At 41.1% G+C, this 20502-nt stretch overlaps 1 protein-coding gene across 9 annotated transcripts in view, besides 4 other annotated features; it reads left to right on the top strand.

Moving 5' to 3' along the window:
* The window catches only part of PWWP2A (PWWP domain containing 2A), a 75135-nt gene that overhangs the window by 29825 nt on the left and 24808 nt on the right, over nt 1–20502 (top strand). For 3 of the 9 annotated variants that reach the window (NM_001267035.3, NM_001349735.2, NM_001349734.2), the window contains one exon: nt 11458–13744. The exons of 2 other annotated variants lie outside the window; for them this stretch is intronic. In NM_001267035.3, coding sequence (NP_001253964.1) covers nt 11458–11471 — 14 coding nt within the window. In that variant the 3' untranslated portion in view covers nt 11472–13744. Of the gene's footprint in view, nt 1–15; nt 121–8855; nt 8976–11457; nt 13745–20502 lie in introns of those variants that run through there. 4 more of the 9 variants (NR_146216.2, NR_146217.2, NM_052927.4 and 1 more) reach the window with 2 other exon arrangements.
* Nucleotides 2945–3112: a silencer, noted in NCBI's record as "fragment chr5:159513521-159513688 (GRCh37/hg19 assembly coordinates)". NCBI's record gives its function as "represses an EF-1alpha promoter that drives an FKBP-Casp9 reporter gene in an ReSE screen in phorbol 12-myristate 13-acetate-treated (for megakaryocytic differentiation) K562 erythroleukemia cells {active_cell/tissue: K562(+PMA)}" and the evidence as "EXISTENCE:reporter gene assay evidence [ECO:0000049][PMID:32094911]".
* Nucleotides 7723–8628: an enhancer, noted in NCBI's record as "H3K27ac hESC enhancer chr5:159508005-159508910 (GRCh37/hg19 assembly coordinates)". NCBI's record gives its function as "activates a minimal SCP1, AML or CMV promoter by ChIP-STARR-seq in primed H9 embryonic stem cells {active_cell/tissue: H9 hESC(primed)}" and the evidence as "EXISTENCE:reporter gene assay evidence [ECO:0000049][PMID:30033119]".
* Nucleotides 8629–9535: an enhancer, noted in NCBI's record as "NANOG-H3K27ac hESC enhancer chr5:159507098-159508004 (GRCh37/hg19 assembly coordinates)". NCBI's record gives its function as "activates a minimal SCP1, AML or CMV promoter by ChIP-STARR-seq in primed H9 embryonic stem cells {active_cell/tissue: H9 hESC(primed)}" and the evidence as "EXISTENCE:reporter gene assay evidence [ECO:0000049][PMID:30033119]".
* Nucleotides 17857–18057: a silencer, noted in NCBI's record as "peak5557 fragment used in MPRA reporter construct". NCBI's record gives its function as "represses an SCP1 promoter by STARR-seq MPRAs in K562 erythroleukemia cells {active_cell/tissue: K562}" and the evidence as "EXISTENCE:reporter gene assay evidence [ECO:0000049][PMID:32103011]".

Raw genomic sequence — 20502 nt, 5'->3', positions numbered from 1 at the left:
CTTTTTACTTTCTAGAATTTATAGACCAGGAAGCTGACTAATCATTTGGAAGGAACATCCATTCAACTCTCATTTACAGATGTGGAACCAAAGACCAAACAATTATCTGTGAGAGGCCAGGTGCGGTGGGTCATTCCCATATTCCTAGAAGTTTGGAAGGCCAAGGTGGGATGATTGCTTGAGGCCCGGAGTTCGAGACCACTCTGGGCAACATAGACCCCCGTCCCCGCTGCCATCTCTGCAGAAAAATAAAAACTTAGCTGGGCATGGTGGCGCACGCCTATAGTCCCAGCTATTCGCCTGTATCCTAGCTACTTGGGAGGCTAAGATGGCTTGAGGTCAGGAGTTGGAGGCTGCAGTGAGCTATGATCACACCACTGCACTCTGGTCTGGGCAAGAGTGAGACCCTGGCTCTGAAAAAAAACCCTATATATCAGTGTGATAGAGAAACTGGGATTCACTAGTCTGGAGCCTTTTTGCATAACGTGGTGGTGTGTCCCTAGATGGTTTTGATGGGGAAAAAAATCTGTAAATAGTAATTGTAGATTAGTACTAAGTTGAATAGGCAGGAATTTTGATGTGAAAACAGACTGGAGGCAAAGAACAGGGAACTGATACTAAAATCAACAAAATGAATATATCTTCACTAGTGAGCCTGAGTATCTAAATTGCAACATATTAAATTGAGTTACACTCCTATTTAAGCAGGTTGTACTTTTCTAAAAATTGCTTATGTTTAAAAGGTCACAAGTCTAGAATAACTGAATTGGGAATTGGAAATACCTTAAGTCTATAATTTGTATCTAAAATTAGGTTTTCCCTTTTAAGTTGTTAATTTTCTATGGTTTGTGCTGCATGCTTTCACTTTTATTAGTACTTACAGCCAAAGAGATGGGCAAATGTCTAGAAAAATTAATGTTTTGATTCAGGAATTTGTGCCTAGTGATGGCCTCCAATAGGGAATTTTCCAGAGAGAATGAAGACTCAGTTTCTAAGTTGGGGCAAATTTAGTTTTTGTTTTGGTATTCTTCTTATATTACAGCTATTAAAACAATCTCTTAAAAAATGCCGGATATGGCTGGGCACGGTAGCTCATGCCTGTAATCCCAGCACTTAGGGAGGCTGAGGCAGGTGGATCACCTGAGGTCAGGAGTTCGAGACCAGCCTGGCCAACATGGCGAAACCCCCGTCTCTATTAAACCCTGTCTCTTCTAAAAACACAAAAATTAGCTGCGCATGGTGGCATACGCCTGTAATCCCAGCTACTCGAGAGGCTGAGTCAGGAGAATTGCTTGAACTCGAGAGGCTGAGTCAGGAGAATTGCTTGAACCCGGGAGGCGGAGGTTGCACTCCAGCCTGGGTGACAGAGTGAGACTCTCCCAAAAAACAAAACAAAACAAAAAACATGCCGGACATAAGGGAATTCAGAAATAGGATGCCATGCCAATTTCGAGGAGAAAATAAAATGGCGAGTGTGCATTAGTTACTTTTACCTGGTTCTGATTTAGTTAATAGGCCCTTCATATTCCAAATTTACAGTTTGTGTAGATTTACTGTATTCCTTCATTCAACAAAAGAACAGGATTAAAAAATGAAAGCATTAGCTAATAGTAATATGCTTTGTTGTGCTATTTTTGAACGAAGGAATAGGAAGTTTAAAGTCACAGTGATATAGCTGATCTGTATATTTTTAGTTTTCCAGGGTATTTTGGTGTCTTTACCATGGATAATTGACACTAATATAAGATAAACAACTCTTTGTCTTATCTTTACTCAAGTAAGAGACCTAACGTTTATAGATCCAAACAGGATTTTTGTTTTCCTTTCCTTGTGGCATGTATGGAAATCACTTTCTCCTTGTTATATTAATGGAGCACTGTGATTTTTTTGTGTGGTATTTAAAAAATTGTAGTTAAATAGATGTAAAATTTATCATCTTAATCATTTTTAATTATACAGTTCTGTGGCATTAAATACATTCACAGTGTTGTTCAACCATCACCACCTTCCATCTGTAATTTAGTTTTGATAGAAATTTTTTAAATTAGGATGGCACTTGCTAGAAGGTGTTGGAAATTAAGTTACAAGAGTGTTTTTCTTGGTCAGTGGTGTGATTGGAATATGCTGCTGGCATTACCCCACTTCCAGGATTCCTTCCTGATCAACCTGTAGTCCTATACAAGGAAATAACTGTAGCTTACAATGCTAATTGGTGCCCCAGCCCCTCCTTTTTTTTTTTTTTTTTTGAGATAGGGTCACACTCTGTCACCCAGGCTGGAATGCAGTGGCGAGATCACAGCCTAGACTTCCTGGGGTCAAGCAGTTCTCCCACCTCAAGCCCCCTGCCCCTACCATAGCTGGGACTACTGGTGTATGTCACCATGCCTGGCTAATTTTTAAAAAATGTTTAGTAGAGACAAAGTCTCCCTTTGTTGCCCAGGCTGCTATCAAACTCCTGGGCTCAAGTGATCCTCTCGTCTTGGCCCCCAACAAAGTGCTAGGATTATAGGCATGAGCCACCGTGCTCGGCCAGTGTCTCCATTTTTAAGAACTGTAACTGCCAAATTTTTAGGTGAATTAGTGTGACTGCACTTACCTAGAAGTTAGTTGGTTTTGGTTAAAACTGTTCCCTTCCAGTAACATAAACTTTTATATCAAGGCATATTTGTTTTCCATTAACTGTACTGACATAAAAAGTGGAAAAAGCAAGTAAATTTCAAAAAATGGTATACATATTATTAAAATATGACAAAAAGTGTGATGGTATGTAAAACTTGGAAAGTAGTTTAATTCCATTACTAATTTAAATGACTTCCATATTCACAATTGACAAATTATTTATGAGGCTGAACATGGTGGTTCATGCCTATAGTCCCAGCTACTCCAGAGGCTGAGGCAGGAAGATGGGGTTCCACCATGTTGGCCATGCTGGTCTCAACTTCTGACCTCAGGTGATCCACCCGCCTCGGCCTCCCAAAGTGCTGGGATTATAGGCGTGAGCCACTGCGCCTGGCCCATAAAGCCTTGATGTTAAAAACACACCAATAGCAAACTTGGTTTAAAGGTGAATTAAAAAAAATGTGTGTATATATATATATATTTATTTATTTAGAGACAAGGTCTCAGTCTCGCCCAAGCTAGACTGTAGGGGTATAATCATGACTCACTGCAGCCTTGACCTCCTGGGCTCAGGCGATTCTCCTGCCTCAGCCTCATAGTTGGGGCCACAGACACATACCATCACACCTGACCAATTTTAAAAAATTATTTATAGAGACAGGGTCACACTATGTTGCCCAGGCTGGTCTTGAACTCCTGGGCTCAAGCAATAACTTCTGCCTCAGCCTCCCAAAGTGGTGGGGTTACAGGTATGAGCCACTGTGCCCAGCTAAATATTTTTTCTTCACATTTCTGATATTTTGTAAAGTATCATTAAAAAGAAGTTGAGAACAGTCATTATTTAAATATGGAAGTTTCTTTGTGTCATAAGAATGTGACAGTTATAAAGGCCGGGCGCGATGGCCCACTTCTGTAATCCCAGCACTTTGGGAGGCTGAGGCAGGCGGATCACCTGAGTTAAGGAGTTCAAGGCCAGCGTGGCCAACATGGTGAAACCCCGTCTCTATTAAAAATACAAAAATGAGCTGGGCGTGGTGGTGGGCACCTGTAGTCCCAGCTGCTCAGGAGGCTGAGGTAGTAGAATGCCGTGAACCCAGTAGGCAGAGGTTGCAGTGAGCCAGGATTGTGCCGCTGCATTCCAGCCTGGATGACAGAGTGAGACTCCATCTCAAAACAAAAAAAAAAAGAATATGACATGTGACAGCCGGGCGTGTTGGCTCACACCTGTAATCCCAGCACTTTGGGAGGCCAAGGCGGGCGGATCATGAGGTGAGGAGTTCAAGACCAGCATGACCAACGTGGTGAAACCCCGTCTCTATTAAAAATACAAAAATTAGATGGGCATGCTGGCACGCACCTGTAATCCCAGCTACTCAGTAGGCTGAGGCAAGAGAATTGCTTGAACCCGGGAGGCAGAGGTTGCAGTGAGCCGAGATCGCGCCATTACACTCCAGCCTGGGTGACAGAGCGAGACTCCATCTCAAAAAAAAAAAAAAAAAAAGAATGTGACAGTTACTTGCTTATACTGACTTGGAAATCTGAGTCTTAACCAGAAACCATCATTAAAACTTCTCATAACTTTTTCTATCCTGGTTGTCAATATCTACAAGGAAAAGCCAAATACTTCATAGCTGAAGTGTTAGACTGTTATGATCACACTTTTTTCCTCTTCTCAAATAAAAACCTTGTAATTATAATGCATATCAGGGACCGAGTGCAGTGGCTCATGCCTGTAATCCTAGCACCTTGGATTACAGTCTCTACTGTACTGTACTGTTTGGATTACCCTGTCTGTACTAAAAATACAAAAATTAGCTGGGCATGGTGGTGGGTGCCTGTAGTCCCAGCTACTCGGGAGGCTGAGGCAGGAGAATCACTTGAACCCAGGAGGCAGAGGTTGCAGTGAGCCAAGATTGTGCCACCACACTCCAGCCTGGGTAACAGAGTGAAACTCCATCTCTAAATAAATAAATAAATAAAATGCATATCAGGTGTTAGCAAGGGCTTCTTGTTTTTCTTTTTCTTTTTTTTTTTACTATTTAAGGTAATTTTGTACCCTTCAGTGTCCCTCATTTAGATTCACTTAAAAGCTGTTGAAAAAGCCTAGGGATGTCAGGTAAAATATGATAGAATTTTTTTATTGCCTGTGGAAAAATTTTTTGTAATGTGAAAGTGTCATCGAGTTGAGTGTAAAAGAAAGAAATGGATACTTAGGAGTATATATATATAACTTGCCAGTGATGCAGGTGAGTTTAAGCATTCATTAACATTTTTAGGACCAGGTGCCTTGGCTCATGCCTATAATCCTAGTACTTTGGGAGACCGAGGCAGGAGCATCATTTGAGTCCAGGAGTTTGAGACCAGCTTCGGCAACATGGTGAAACTCTGTCTCTACAAAAAATACAAAAAAATAAGGTGGGCTCGGTGGTGCACGCCTGTAGTCCCAGCTACTTGGGAGGCTGAGGTGGGAGGACCACTTTAGCCTGGGAGGCTGAGGCTGCTGTTAGCCATCATCCTGCCACTGCACTCCAGCTTGGGCGACAGAGTGAGACCCTGTCTCAAAACACAAAAAAGATTTTTGCAACAGTAGTGCTTAATAGCAGGCTTTTATTGAGCAAAGAACCATTCCCTTTCACTTTTCAGGCACATGGCTCAAAGTACAAGCTCTTGAGCCAGATTTGCTGGATTCAAAGCCTGACTTTGATCAGCCACTTACACACTATGTGATCTTAGGCAGGTTACTCCCAATATCATCACATGTGAAATAAGGAGAATAATAGTATCTCCTCATAAGATAATTGTGAGAATTTAAAAGAATATTTAAAGCAATAAAAAAAATGTCTTGCATGAGGCTGTATAAATACTTGCCATCATTACTACCACTGCAGTCACTTTGTGTTGCACGGTAAATTCTGGTAGCTTTCGATACTATCATTCTGCAACATATACTCAGTATAAATGGAAATATAACAATGTTATTTGTACCTGAAAATTTTGAGAAATCATAGCATGATTATTCACAAGTCTCTGGAAGTAGCATGGACTCACTAGTTTTAATAGGCATTTGCAGAGGTTAACTGAATCGAAGGTCATGAGGATTATGGTTAAAGGAGACCTGTGTTAACATATTTCAACTCTTGCCCCATTCATTTATTTAACACACAAATTCCAGTGATCTGGTACTCACTTTCCTATTCTACTCTCCCTTATGCCAAACACAGGGCCTGGCATGGGGGGAAATGATTGTCTTCTTGTGAATGAATGATGAGCAATTCTGGTTCAGACATGTCCTAATGACCGATGACCATCTCAGATGCCCCACACATCCCGAACCCTTTCCATGACACATAAGTATCTGAGCTGGTAGGGCCCAATGCAGTGGAGGTCCTATTAGGAGAACTTCACAAAGATGTTAGAACTACAAAGCTACATTTGTCAGCTTTTGGGTAAATTAGCTGATTTGCATAGATGCTGTGCTTCCCTAGGACCGTAGCATTTTACTATTTTAATGTTTTGCCGTATGGAGGAAAAGTGGAGATTAATTTGAACATTTTCGTTTTTATTGCTGCTCGTATGATTGAGTAGATTGTCTCCTCTTTCTAGGAGGGAAATGCCACACATTCCAACGCCTTGAACTGTGTGTGGTTTGGCCATATTTTCCAGAGGATAGTCATTTTTACCCATGGGTCATTTTGGGGATGCTGTTAATCACAAATCTGTCATCTCCCCCAACAGTTTAGTTTTAGCAAGGAATCTGGCTGAGTGTGGCACATCTTGGTGTGAGTCCTGGTATACTGGGAAGAATTACATGCAGTTTGTCTAAAAGAGCTGGTTAGAAAAATAGCACTAAGGTTGGAAAGCCAGAAGGGCTATTGTAAGATGAGATACTGTTGATGCTTTTCCTGCTTGTTCATGTTGCATCATGCTTTACTGTATTAAGAAAATTCATTTTGAGTGTTCAGTGAGATAATGTCTAATGCTCTTAAGTTTTTAGTTTTTAATTGTGGGCTTTCTTTAAGAGCATAAACTCTACTTCTTTCGTGCACGCTAAGAGGGAGATTGAGGGTTACCCTGTTCTGGTTTGCCCATTACAGTTCTGCTGCTTCCCAAGAATAGTTGCCATTGTTGCACTTAAGCTTTCTCTCAAAGGACAAAATAAGTAATTTCCGATGAAATTGCCGCCTTTTCATGGGTCTCTCCCTCCACTTACTGCATCACAGCTGGGTCTCCTGGCTCTTCCTAATGGATATCCTGTGCTAGTGGTAAATTCTAAAGAAAAGCCTCGAGATCCTAAAAGCATTGAGGGGAAGATTATCTTAAACATTAGCACAAAAGACTCACAAACCAGGCACTGTGGACCAGGGACTGGTTTGTTAATATTTTGGCATTTCAGGGGGTTGCAGGTGAGGAATTGCACAGGGAAACATGAGATCATTCTTTGATACATCTTGACTCTCCTTGCTTAAAATTGAAAAGCAGATTCTCTAGAATGATTGTTGAAACCTAACAAGTTTTACTTGTAGAGGGAGAGGTTCAAAAGATAATTTCTTTTTTTTTTTTTTTGAGACGGAGTCTCGCTCTGTCGCCCAGGCTGGAGTGCAGTGGCGCGATCTCGGCTCACTGCAAGCTCCGCCTCCCGGGTTCACGCCATTCTCCTGCCTCAGCCTCCCGAGTAGCTGGGACTACAGGCGCCCGCTACCACGCCCGGCTAATTTTTTGTATTTTTAGTAGAGACGGGGTTTCACCGTGTTAGCCAGGATGGTCTCGATCTCCTGACCTCGTGATCCACCCGCCTCGGCCTCCCAAAGTGCTGGGATTACAGGCGTGAGCCACCGCGCCCGGCCAGATAATTTCTTTAGTGCACTCAGATTCCCTTATTCTTGTGTGATTGCTGTTGGGTTATAGTTGATAGTATATTAAGTTTTTCCATGAACAAAAGGATAAATACCTCATTATTAAATCTCACCCTAAAAAATTATTTTCCCAAGTTAAAATTCAGAAGTAATTATTTTTCTAGATCAGGTGTATACAAAATCTTTTCAGTGTCAGAAAAGCCTTTTATAAATAGGTTTTCATTATATACTGCTGCTTCTAATTTAACTTAGCATTAAAAAAACAATTATAAAGACTGAATGTTATCTAACTAATGATCTCAGAGTTGACTACACTGATGTGATAGGTGAATTGTTTTTTATTTATAGTTAGGAAAGTAAGCAAACAAGCCAATATGTTTAAAAATTAGGCTTAAGATAGCAGTCCTTCATTTAAATTACGCTTAGTATTTGAAGTCTGTTTTGAAAGCTTAAGTGTCATAAAAAAGCTTATCTTGTTATAACTGTTATTTCAACGAGGTATTACCTCACACAGTAAATTTAGGTCCTGAATGGTATGCAAGTGTGGTTATTGGGATTAAAGTGGAAAGGGGTTGAGGCAGTTTTTGGTCATTTTGCTAAAAAGGGTCAAAAGAGCCTCAGTATGGTGCCTCACGCCTATAATCCCAGCACTTTGGGAGGCCGAGGTAGGTGGATCACCTGAGGTCAGGAGTTTGAGACCAGGCTGGCCAAAACGGTGAAACCCCATCTCTACTAAAAATATAAAAAATTAGCCAGGTGTGGTGGCGGGCGCCTGTAATCCTAGCTACTCAGAAGGCTGAGGCAGGAGAATCACTTGAACCTGGGAGGAGGAGGTTGCAGTGAGCCGAGATCGTGCCACTGCACTCCAGCCTGCTAACAAGAGTGAGACTGTCTCAAAAAAAAAAAAAAAAAAAGGGGGTCATTGAGCTCATTAATTATGTAGTGTGGACAGAGATGACGGTTCAGCCTTATCTTTGAATACTGACTGAGAAGATCAGGACTTCTCCAACATAGGCTAACGTGAGATTAGTAAAACATTTTTTGTTAGGAACATCCAGTGTGAGTTAGCATTTCCCCTTTCATTTGTTAGTTTGCTTGGAGGGCAGAATCTTGGTGTGCCCCATTGCATCTTGCTGCGGATTTGACTTGAGCCGGAGAGTGCCCTCTCCTGGCAAAGGCTGTTGTGTCTACACAGCTCTCAAGTCTGTTTTCATTTAGTACCAAAGCTTCTCCTTCTGTGAAGCGAGCAAGTTATCCAGAATAAATTTGTTATGAAAATTCACCTGAATTTTGGTCTTATTTTAAAACTATTTTTTTGGTAAAATGGATGGATTAAAAAACTCGAATGCTTTATTTTTGTTAACTTGGTTTTTTCTACCATAGGTCTCAACAAATGGCAGCTATTACATCAGACAGTGACGAGTCCTGCTGCTCCCTTACAGTGTCTGACAGACCACTGTGGATTCAGACTGGGAGCATTGAAGTTAACAGTGAAACGGGCAGGTCTGTCTGTTTTAAGCCCTGCCACAAAGTGAAGAGGGCATCATGTCATCACTTAATCATTCCTGAAGTAGATTAGGCTAGACTTAAAAGAATTCATTAGTTCTTTTTCTTTAGTTTTCATTGACTTTGGTAGCCGGGTGTGCCTCGTGTAGGTGATAGTTTTAATGAATGAAAATAACTTTCCATTGATACTACCTGCCATGCCAAAAAAGAGGAGTCTCCTGTGAGCTTCTGTGAATTGAGAGCAGATTCTCTTAGGGTGGTAGAAGTTGGGTGTGACCTTGCAGAATTATGTCAAATAGCAACTGAGTCTCCATGGAAAGTCAAAAATACTGGATGTCTTTTATCTTTTCACTATCTCCGTCTTTTTTTGTCACTTTTATATTCATTAAACTTCTTAGTCATTACTTCTTACTGTATATATATAAGAATATATATGTGAACACATATGTGTATATATATTCTTAGTGAATTAGTCACAAAACCATTGTCATTTACATAAAGCAAGTCAAAATTCCAGAGGGTGGTAAAAGATAGTGCTGAAATATAGTCTATTTCTTTAAGTACATTTATTAATAACTCCTTGGATAAGGCCTAAAAGGCTTATTTTGGGCCCTTATAGGGTAGGAAAAGTTCAGGGATTTCTGTGTGTTTGCACTGCTTTGAAACTTACTACTTTTATTGCTTCCTTGAAGTAAGGCTGTTTAACCCTCTGGTGTTTGTACAGCTAGTGAAGAACTGTATAGTTGCATGGAAGCTGTAATTTGCAGGCTGGATCAGAATGGCAAATTTTGGATTAGAGATTGCAGCTGGGATTTTGGACACTTATCTGCGTAGGAGTGGTAGCTACCCTTAAGATGCGTATCTCTTGAGGGAATAGTGTTTTTTATTTTTCTGCACCTCTCATAGGAATAGTAAGATCTGTTTGAGTCCTTGCCTTTCCTGCCATAGATTTTAACTGAACTTAAATAGGCCTCACTAAAATTGAAGCCAAATATTGAGTCATAAATAGAAGGAAATGGAATTTTACATGGGATTGGGTGTTTACCTTTTCTTCCTTCAGTTTATAAAATGGGAACATTTGCTTCCAAAGTTCTGTGTGAGCCTTAATCTATTAGTATTGCAATCATATTAGTACAGTATCTTAGTTTTAGAAAGTAAAAACTGAGCTCAATGTCAAATTTTAAAACAGTGTAAATCATTTTTTTTTTTTCCAGAAGCAAGGACTACATTCATCTTTCATCTTGATGTGTGTAGTATTTGTCCCTAGAGGTCACTTTTCATTGCTTGAGGAGAAACATGATAGAATACCCAGTGAAATGTATTTTGTAGGGCTTGATCTAGTAAGCGAAGGAAGCATGGGAACACCGGAAGGCAACACAAAATCAAGTCAGTTCTGTCAAATCATGGGGAAGGTACCTCCTGTGAAATGTTTGGAAGTTAAATAATGGGAAGGACGGAGTGGTTTTTCTGTTTTCCTTGTTGCATTGTGTTTGATGTGTTTGTTATTATTCCACTGAAATACCATTTTTGGTATGCATTTGACCAAAAATTCATCTTTCTTTCCACGGATCATCTCTTTTGGAACTCAAACTCGTGTTGGTACTTGGGTTTCCAGGTTTGAGAGGCATAATCAGGGATTGTAGAGGGTTTCAGTGGGCTTCTTTCTACTTCGTAGTATTAGACGGAGGTTAGTAGTGTTGATCATTCTGGTCATGCTATTTAGCAGTAATTTGTATAAGCCTTGCCCTTTATAAACAGTGCGCTTGGAGTCCTGCTTCTTGTTGGAGGTATGGTGAAGAGGCCTCTGCTGAGAATCACGTTTGCTGGTGTAACAAGGGATACTGGTCCGTCTAACCAGTGTACATGTGTTGTCTTCTAGTATCAAAATGGTGCTCTTCATGCCTTCCGATGTGCTGTGTCTACTTCTGGGGAGGCACCCTCCATTCCCTTCTTATTTTGCTCTTTGCAAGTATGTGGACAGTGTGACCTGCTGCTGATTTGTACATAGCCTGGCTCTGTATATAAATTTGTTCCTTAAAACTGTAGGCTAGTCTGTGCTAGTAGAAGGCTGTTGGTGCTTCATAGCAGTCCCCAGCAACTAAGCTGACTCTCAGAGCACTGTACTGTGAAATGGCGATATAAGGAACAAAGTTAAAATTCCCCTGTTACTAGGCATTTATAAGCAAGTATTTTAAAAAAACACTCAAGTGCACATTGATTATGTAAAGATGACAGCCATTTTACTTGTGTTGGAAACTGGCCTGATAATACTTCAGAAATAACATGAATATTTCTGCTGGTTTAGAGTGGCAGTAAGTTGTTTTCTCAAAACAACATCGGTCAGGTTTAACCGATTTAAAAGAAAAAATCAGGTGTGATCCCACAATCTATGTAGGGCTTAAACAACAAGGACATCATTTTCCTCATATAATTACTTGTGCTTAACGACATTTTCTTCCTTTTCTTTACTATATTTCAGCACAAAGACATTAGCAGGCTGCTGGTTTCATGGACCTGTACCACAATGACACAGAGAACACCAGAGCATCAGGACTGAATGAAATTGGAGTTTTTAAAGCTGCACTAAGAAGTAAATGTTAAGGCAGTGGTTAAAAACAACAGTCTATAAAGGGGCACTTGCAAATTGTGCTGTCTTAAACCGAAGAAAAGGTATTAGGGAATATTTTATAAAAAATAAACTTGCAATAAATTATGCATGAGATGAGGAGAAAAATGATGTGAATTACACACGTAAGAACTCACTTGAATTTTATATATGAAGAAACACTGACAGTAACTTCTTTGGAATGTGAAGTTCTTATCAGTACAGTTTGGACAGGCCTAAAAGGCATGGGATGATGCAGAAATGCTGAATTATTTTTCATACTTAAACTTTGTGCTTTCTCCAAGGTTTAGGTTAATCAGTTCAGATATGAGCAAAGGTATTTCTAAAATGGCTCTTCTATGAAAAGCAATAGTCACATATGCCAAGGCCAATGTTTCCTTCAAGGTGCCAGTAGAAACAACAGAAAATAACATCCTGCTGAAAGGATGGCAAAGTGCCCCGCCCCACCCCACAAACACAATTTGGATCTTTTCCTTCTTTAATAAAGCAGGGCTGTATTATCTTGAATATATGTTTGCTTGTTAGAACATATTAAGATATATTTATTTGCCACTAGTATTTAACATTTTGTGCACATTTTCATAATTACATTCTTACCTTTCAAATTTTGACTCAAAGTGGATAGGCTAGTGTTGATATTGGAGTGCAAATGTATATACTCCAAGAGCTAGTTCTTAATTCTGCTGAGTTGGAAAGCCTTTTATTATTGTCTGTATCCTTACTGGTTTTATCTAGTTCAAAAAAGGTGACAACGTCTAAATTTTGATGTGGACCTCTCTCCATAGAGAGCCGCTCCTAAGTGCAAGAAATTCCAACAGGTGTCAGTAGGACTTGGCCCTGGGGGACAACAAGTGGCAGGAACAGGATCCTTTAAAACAGTGTCAAACTTCTCATGCATGGAGCATGAATTCTTACTAATAGAGACTGTAGTTTTTTTCTTGTCTTTGGTAAATATATAAAAGACCTTAATTTTTCTTTTTTAATGAATGGAGAAAACATGAGAAAACCAGATGGACCTGTTAGTACTACATTTTTAAGGCATTTTATATTTGATGGTGCCGTACTTTTAATAATAATAAAACTGAAGTTTTTTAGTGGCAATACTGATTTATTTTTTAAACCAGAAAGATAATCCATATTGATTACTTACTACAAAAAAGGGAAAATATGCCAAAAAATAAAAAACCTTAAAATTCATATGAAGCAACGTAACAGATAACTGAGCACTTGGCTCAAGTGGTCAGACTTTTCATAATGTTACTGTGTAAGTTTGGAATTACCTAATAACCCCAGGCTCAGGATTAACAGAAGGTTCTGGGTGAGTTTTAAAACATTTAATATACCTATGATTTGTTTTACAACTTGAAGAAAAGGCAGGCAGTCTTGTGTCTAATGAGCTTAATGCAAATTCTAATTATACTGCAAATAATTTAAAGTTTTGATTGCATTCTACAATTGTCTGTTTGGAAAATTACATATTATGAAGTCATTATATATTTTATCAAATCAGAAAAAGTCAGCTCAGGAACTGTAGCAGCAGGGAGTTCTAAAGATGACATGAACTATACTATAGGGGTGCCCTACTCTATATGGCCTAGGGCTTTGGTTTGGGTCAGTCTTGTTCTTTCAGATACATAACACCAGCAGTACTTTCGGGCTCACTTCAAGAACCAGATAACTCTCCCAAACCATGATACATGAAGTGTATAATCAAGATTTTTAATTAAGCTTTAGAATTCTTTATTTGTGTAGAGTGATGGAAATGACCAAGAAGTAATAATATAAAGCAAAAGAATTGGGAGAGATCAGGTTTTAAGTATATAAATATTTTTTTTTTCTCATGGCATATTCTCAAAGGTGTTTTGTTACAAACCAGATTTTCATTTTTTAAAAAATGAGACTTGGTGGTATTTAAAACCTACACCTACCATGTTGCTATTTCACTTTCATTGCTTTAGTTGCTTAATATTTAAGCTTTGCTTCATGCTACCTTTTGTCTGTATTTCAATCTTCATAAGCCTATTTTGTTTTGTAGACTTGAATGATAAAAATTGTTTCTCATCTTAAGTATGCTCAGAGTTTTAAATGTTAAAGAATGTTGTGTAACCTTTATCCAATAAAGTCTTTGATTTTTTAAAAATTTAGTTATTTAAAAATTATGTTTACTTTTTAGGAGTTAGTTTTTAAAGATTTTTTTTTTTTTTTTTTTTTTTTTTACTATTAGAATTCAATCACTAGTTGTACTTTAGGGAGCTGTTTTCAGTAGCAATGCTTCCTAAGGAGAACAGCCTGTAGGTTTCTAATCACTAGGAGATTTTATGGGACCTCTTTATGACGAAGGATGGAGGAAGGGTGAACAGTTTAATTAGGACCCTGTGCACAAACATAACAGCTTTTCGATAGAAACAACCTACCCTTCAGAATTGGATGTAATTAAATATCTGCTGCTGGGTTTGTCTTGTTTTCTTTTGTTTTAATTTTAAGGAATCCTGCCCTTATGGATAAATGGTTGCTTCTTTAAGAGCCCAGCACATTGAGTGAGAGGTCAAGGGTTTGACCTAAGAATCAGAAACACTTGGTTATCAGGAAAAAATTAGCCTTTTAAAACCTACAGACAGTTCACAGGACTGACCCAGAAACTTAGGTCAATGTACTTTTTTTTTCTGTTCAAGAAAAGCAATCCTTTGGCTGCCTGTTATTCCAGAGTACATGAAGGCTTTAATCTCAAACATTCTCCCATTTCAGTTTATTTAAATGAGTGTAAAAAAGAGACCACAGGAATCTGGCTCTGCTAATATCTTTTTTCTCTCAAATTTCTCACTAATGAAAATGGAACAGGGAGAACCAGGGAAGATTAACAAGCCATGTGCTCATTATCTGAGAGGGCCTACAGGAGACTCATACTGATCCTGGTCATGTATACATGTATCAGTATATTTATAGACACAACTCCTACAAGATGGAGGGAATGAATGATGGAACCAATAGAAGCAACTGAAAATCTTACCAATGCTGGCCTTCACATAAGAAAGCGTAAGTTCATTTTTCCTTTTTCAAGTAAAGATTTTTTTTTTTTAATTTAAATAATAGAGACAAGGTCTCGCTTTGTTGTCCAGGCTGGTCTCAAACTCCTGGGCTCAAGTGATCCTCCTGCCTCGGCCTCCCAAAGTGCTGGGATTATAGGCATGAGCCACTGCACCTGGCCATGATTCTTTTATCAGAATAAGAAATTATTTGAATAAAGAGGTTTTTTTTGTTTTTTTTTTTGTTTTTTTGAGACGGAGTCTTGCTCTTGTTGCCCAGGCTGGAGTGCAATGGCACGATCTTGGCTCACTGCAACCTCCGCCTCCCGGGTTCAAGCAATTCTCCTGCCTCAGCCTCCCAAGTAGCTGAGTTTACAGGCATGCGCCACCACCCCTGGCTAATTCTGTATTTTTAGTAGAGATGAGGTTTCTCCCTGTTGGTCAGGCTGGTCTCAAACTCCCGATCTCAGGTGATCCGCCTGCCTCGGCTTCGCAAAGTGCTGGGATTACAGCGTGAACAACTGTGCCTGGACTTTATTTATTTATTTATTTATTTTTTTGAGACAGATTTTCGCTCTTGTTGCCCAGGCTGGAGTGCAGTGGTGCGATCTCGGCTCACTGCAACCTCCACCTCCTGGGATCAAGCGATTCTCCTGCCTCAGCCTCCCGAATAGCTGGGATTACAGGCATGTGCCACAACTCCCAGCTAATTTTGTATTTTTAGTAGAGACAGGGTTTCTCCATGTTGGTCAGGCTGGTCTCGAACTCCTGATCTGAGGTGATCCACCTGCCTCAGCCTCCCAAAGTGCTGAGATTACAGGTGTGAGCCACTGCCTGGCCAGAATATGTTATTTTTTAAGCATCCTTTTCTCTAGTGATTAGCATGCTGCCAAATCTTTGCTTAATCGGAATGAAATTTTTTTTTTTTTTTTTTGAAACGGAGTCTCACTCTGTCACCCAGGCTGGAGTGCAGTGGCACGATCTCGGCTCACTGCAACCTCTGCCCCCTGGGTTCAAGAGATTCTCCTTCCTCAGCCTCCTGAGTAGTTGGGATTACAGGTGCTTACCCCCATGCCCGGCTAATTTTTGTATTTTTAGTAGGGAAGGGGTTTCGCCATGTTGGCCAGGCTGGTCTTGAACTCCCAACCTCAAGTGATCCACCCGCTTTGACCTCCCAAAGTGCTGGGATTACAGGTGTGAGCCACCGCACCCGGCTTGGAATGAAATTTCATGGCCTTAACAATTCCTTTGCTTTGGTACCAACAAGGTAGTGAGCTTGGGGTAAAGGAGAGTATGATTCAGGAAAACTGTGCCAGAAGAAGAGAGAGCTGGCCAAACAGTGGGAAGACATTGTCTTTAAGCGTTAAGAGTACTTTCAGGGTTAGCCCTTTCATTATTTCCTTGTGAGGCAAGTTTGTAGAAGCAGCTGTCTAAAGGAGGGAAAGTGGCTTGGTGATGTTAAAGATGTTTTTGGCCGGGCATGGTGGCTCACGCCTGTAATCCCAGTACTTTGGGAGGTCGAGGAGGGTGGATCATGAGGTCAGGAGATCGAGACCATCCTGGCTAACACGGTGAAACTCTGTCTCTACTAAAAATACAAAAATTAGCCGGGCGTGGTGGTGGGTACCTCTAGTCCCAGCTACTCGGGAGGCTGAGGCAGGAGGATGGCGTGAACCCGGGAGGCAGAGCTTGCAGTGAGCTGAGATCGCGCCACTGTACTCCAGCCTGGGCAACAAAGTGAGACTCCGTCTCAAGAAAAAAAAAAAAAAGAAATGTTTTTATACTAATAACCTGCCTTAGTCTAAAGAGGTAGGAGACATGGATTCTGTTATCAGTTCTATCAATGACCTTTGACAGCAAAGTCACACAGCAGCCTTATTGGCAAAATGAGGTGTAGAAATCCATCTCACCAAGCTCTTCAGTTCCTACTCAGCCAAGGCCGAAACCCCTGGGGAGATGTTAGGATTTTTTTTTTTTTTTTTTTTTTTTTTTTTGAGACGGAGCCTCGCTCTTGTTGCCCAGGCTGGAGTGTAATGGTGCAATCTCGGCACACTGCAACTTCCGCCTCCCAGGTTCAAGTGATTCTCCCACCTCAGCCTCCCGAGTAGCTGGGATTACAGGCACCTGCCATCATGCCTGGCTAATTTTTGATTTACTTATTCATTTATTTATTTTTGAGACGGAGTCTCACTCTGTTACCCAGGCTGGAATGCAGGCACCTGCCATCACACCTGGCTAATTTTTGTTTTATTATTTATTTATTTATTTATGAGACGGAGTCTCGCTCTGTTGCCCAGGCTGGAGTGCAGTGGTGCAGCCATGGCTCACTGCAGCCTCAACCTTGTGGTTCAAGTGGTCTTCCTGCCTCAGCCTCCTGAGTAGCTGGGACTACAGGTGTGCACTACCACCCCGAGCTAACAAAAAAAGTATTTATTTTGTAGCGACGGGGTTTCTCTGTTATCCAGGTAGTTCTAAACTCCTGGGCGAAAGCAATCCTCCCACCTCGCCCCCCGCAGGTGCTGGGATTACAGGCCTGAGCCACTGTGCCCAGCTCATAAACTGCCCCTTGAAGGGTTGTAAGCAGTCATTCTCATGCGCTAACGTTATTTTCACCCTACCTCTTGAACTGGCTGGTAGCAAGTAATCCATTTTTTTTAATTGACTTTTTTTCAGAGTCCATGCTAATCTTCTATCATTCCAATTTTAGTATATGTGCTGCTGAAGCAAGCACAGTAATCAATTTTTCATTTTCAGAAGCATTAATGGATCTGGTTTAGTGTGAGGTCAGGATAGCTCTGCACACAACAGGAGGAAGTGATTGCAAATTATAGCTTCCTTTCCCTGTACAGCTTTTAATTGTGCAGTTCACTGAAGGAACAGATTTTTCAGCCACTTCTGGTGGAATGCGCACATACTTTTTTAAAGGAAATCCAGGTGATGGAAGGATTAAGCTTGTTACTATCAAGTACCGAGGAAGCAGGCTGGCAAGAATCCTAACTGAAATCACTTCAAGGAGATTTGACTAAGATTGTATGGGTATGTATCAAGTACAGAGTATCCACAGATAAGATCAGAGGAAGAGTTTCTCTTCCCTATCCTCATCCCTCCTGTATTTTTTAAGGGGAGGGACGAGCATATGGAGGAAACCGGCACAGTAATGAAGGGAAGTGATCACAGAAAACAACAGGAAGGAACATACAATCCAGCTGGCAGCGACCATCAGCTGCAGGCTCATAAGGCTGCATCTGAATGGGGGCTGCGCAGCTGAGAGCCAACAGCTCCAGCCTTTCCTCTTAAGCCAAGGGCAATCTGGAGAGAGCACAGATAACAAGCAGAGGAAACGGATGAGGGCTCGTCAAGATATTTCCCATCCTACGTGGTGTCTCAGATTTGCGCTTTGGTCTTGGGGGATTATTGGACTCTTCCTCTTAAAGATCTTTCCCAAGATTAAAGCAACCATTCACTTGCACAACTGTCTTAATCATAGCCTTTCCCTTTGACATCCCAAGTTCTGCAGAACTGGTGGTAAAAGGATTTGCAGGCCTGCTTAGTTCTTGGGATCAGACCATGCTTGCAAAGATGTATCTTCCAACAGGTTTACATCTGCCGCCTGCCGCCAGCTTCTCATCCCACTATCTATTCAGGCAGTAAAATGCCTCTAAAAAGCTCCTGCGCCGGGTCTTCCTGCACCAACTTAGATTCTAGCTTGAAAGTTGAGTGAAATGTTACTTACCAGTAGTCTCAGAGGCCAGCTCAGAGACTAAAAAGGAGCACCAGAAATAACTACTAAGCCCGGCAACATCTCTTTTTCTTTTTGAGACAGGGTCTCATTCCCAGGCTGGAATGCAGTGGTGCCATCTTGGCTCACTGCAGCCTTGACTTCCTGGGCTCTGGTGATCCTCCCACCTCAGCCTCCTAAGTAGCTGGGACTACAGGTGTGTACCACCATGCCTGGCTAACTTTTTGTATTTTTACTAAAGATAGGGTTTCGCCATGTTGCCCAGGCTGGTCTCAAACTCCTGGGCTAAAGCTATTTGCCCGCGTTGGCCTCCCAAAGTGCTGGGATTACAGGCGTGAGCCACGGCGCCTGGCCAGCAACATTTCTTAAAGCACTCCCCTACTTTCAGTTACATAAAACGTCGTAGGAACTGCAACTCTCAGCATTTATGGATTACACAAACATTCATGTCTTTGGCTATATCCAAGCAGCTCTGAAGGACAGCGTATGAGGTCTTGTCATTTTGCCGAAGCTCAGATGTATGTCCAGTGCCACCATGTCCCTAAAGTTATAGGGACATCTATAACATGTAGGCTTAGTGACTCCCCAGCCTCCACATTTAGACATGGTATAACACTGTCTCCTTAAGTACAGTTATTTGTAAAGTGAGATGATGTGTGTTTTGCAGGGAATGGGACAAGGAGCAAAAGGCTAAAAAACAACCACAACAAACTGGCTGCAGTGCTTGTGATGGAAGGGAAGCACACATGGAAAAGCATAGTTTTTTGTTTTTTGTTTTTTTCTTTCAGAGACAGGGTCTCTCACTGTTACCCAGGCTGGAGTGTGGTGGCTCGGTCATAGCTCACTGCAGCCTCAAACTCCTGGGCTCAAGTGATCCTCCTGCCTCAGCCTCCCAACTAGCTGGGGCTGAAAGCATGTGCCACCATGCCTTGCTTGGTTTTAAAACATTTTTTGGTAGAGATGGGGTCTTAGTATGTTGACTAGGCTAAGGTCTTGAACTCCTGGTTTCAAGTGATCCTCCTGCCTCTGCCTCCCAAAGTGTTGGGATTACAGGTGTGAGCCACTGCACCCAGCTAGTTCTTAGAAAAATGGTTGAGATTTTTAAAATAGGTGAATTTAACAGCATGGATCCATGAGTAAAATGAAAGAATGAATCCACAGTGCACTCTACACAGAAAGACCACCATATGAGTATGAATTTGTTGTAGAAATCCCAATTTCCTGGGGAAGCCTCCTGCAGAGGCCCCAACCAATGGAAAAGCTGCTTCTGTGAAAACTGGAAAAGTAGTTACGATACAGTGTGGGAATATACAGAAAACACAAGACTTGATGGAAATGTGGCCTGGAGGTGAGGAGACTGAAACGAAAGGAAAAGTTGGGGATTTTTTTAATTCTTGGAAATATCCAAGATGCAAAAAATGAAAACTTAAAAACCAGGAGACAAACGCTTACATGCCAGGTTGAATGTTCATTCTACATGGCCGTGCAAGACAGGCTAGACTGGCTTAGAGTGACCTTCTTTACAGAATGCTTTTTATTTTTATTATGTATTTATTTTTATAGAGATGGGGTTTCGCTATGTTGCCCAGGCTGGTCTCAAACTTCTGAGCTCAAGTGATCCTCCCGCCTTGGCCTCCCAAAGTGTTGGGATTACACAGGCTTGAGCCACTGTGCTCAGCCTACAGAATGTTGTTTTGAGCTTCATGGGTATGATTACTGGATTCACTGTTGAGAAACCCTAGCTGAGCCCTCCAAATTTGCCAGAACTACACACTTAACGAAATAACACTACTAAGAAAGTTTACTTGAGTAACTAGGTCCAGAAACTCCAGGGTGAGGTGGCCACTTTGGGCAATACCGGGTTAAGTCACAGATAAGTTACTGACCTTGATTCGGTGATACCAAGCTGTTGTCTCTGTCTCCCACTGCATTCTTTGGACTGTGAAAAATAGCAAGTAAGCCTTTTTTTTTTTAGATAGGTTGGTTTCACTTTGTCACCCAGGCTAGAGTGCAGTGGCATGATCTCAGTTCACTGCAGCCTCGACCTCCTGGGCTCAAGCAATCCTCCTGCCTCAGCCCCTCAAGTAGCTGGGACTACAGGCACACACCACCACACCCAAGTAGTTTTTTGTAGAG

This window comes from Homo sapiens, chromosome 5 (assembly GCF_000001405.40).
Source record: "Homo sapiens chromosome 5, GRCh38.p14 Primary Assembly".
In the NCBI taxonomy this organism is placed as follows: Eukaryota; Metazoa; Chordata; class Mammalia; order Primates; family Hominidae; genus Homo; species Homo sapiens.
Note: the sequence above shows the minus strand (reverse complement) of the source record. Positions and strands in the feature narration are given on the sequence as shown.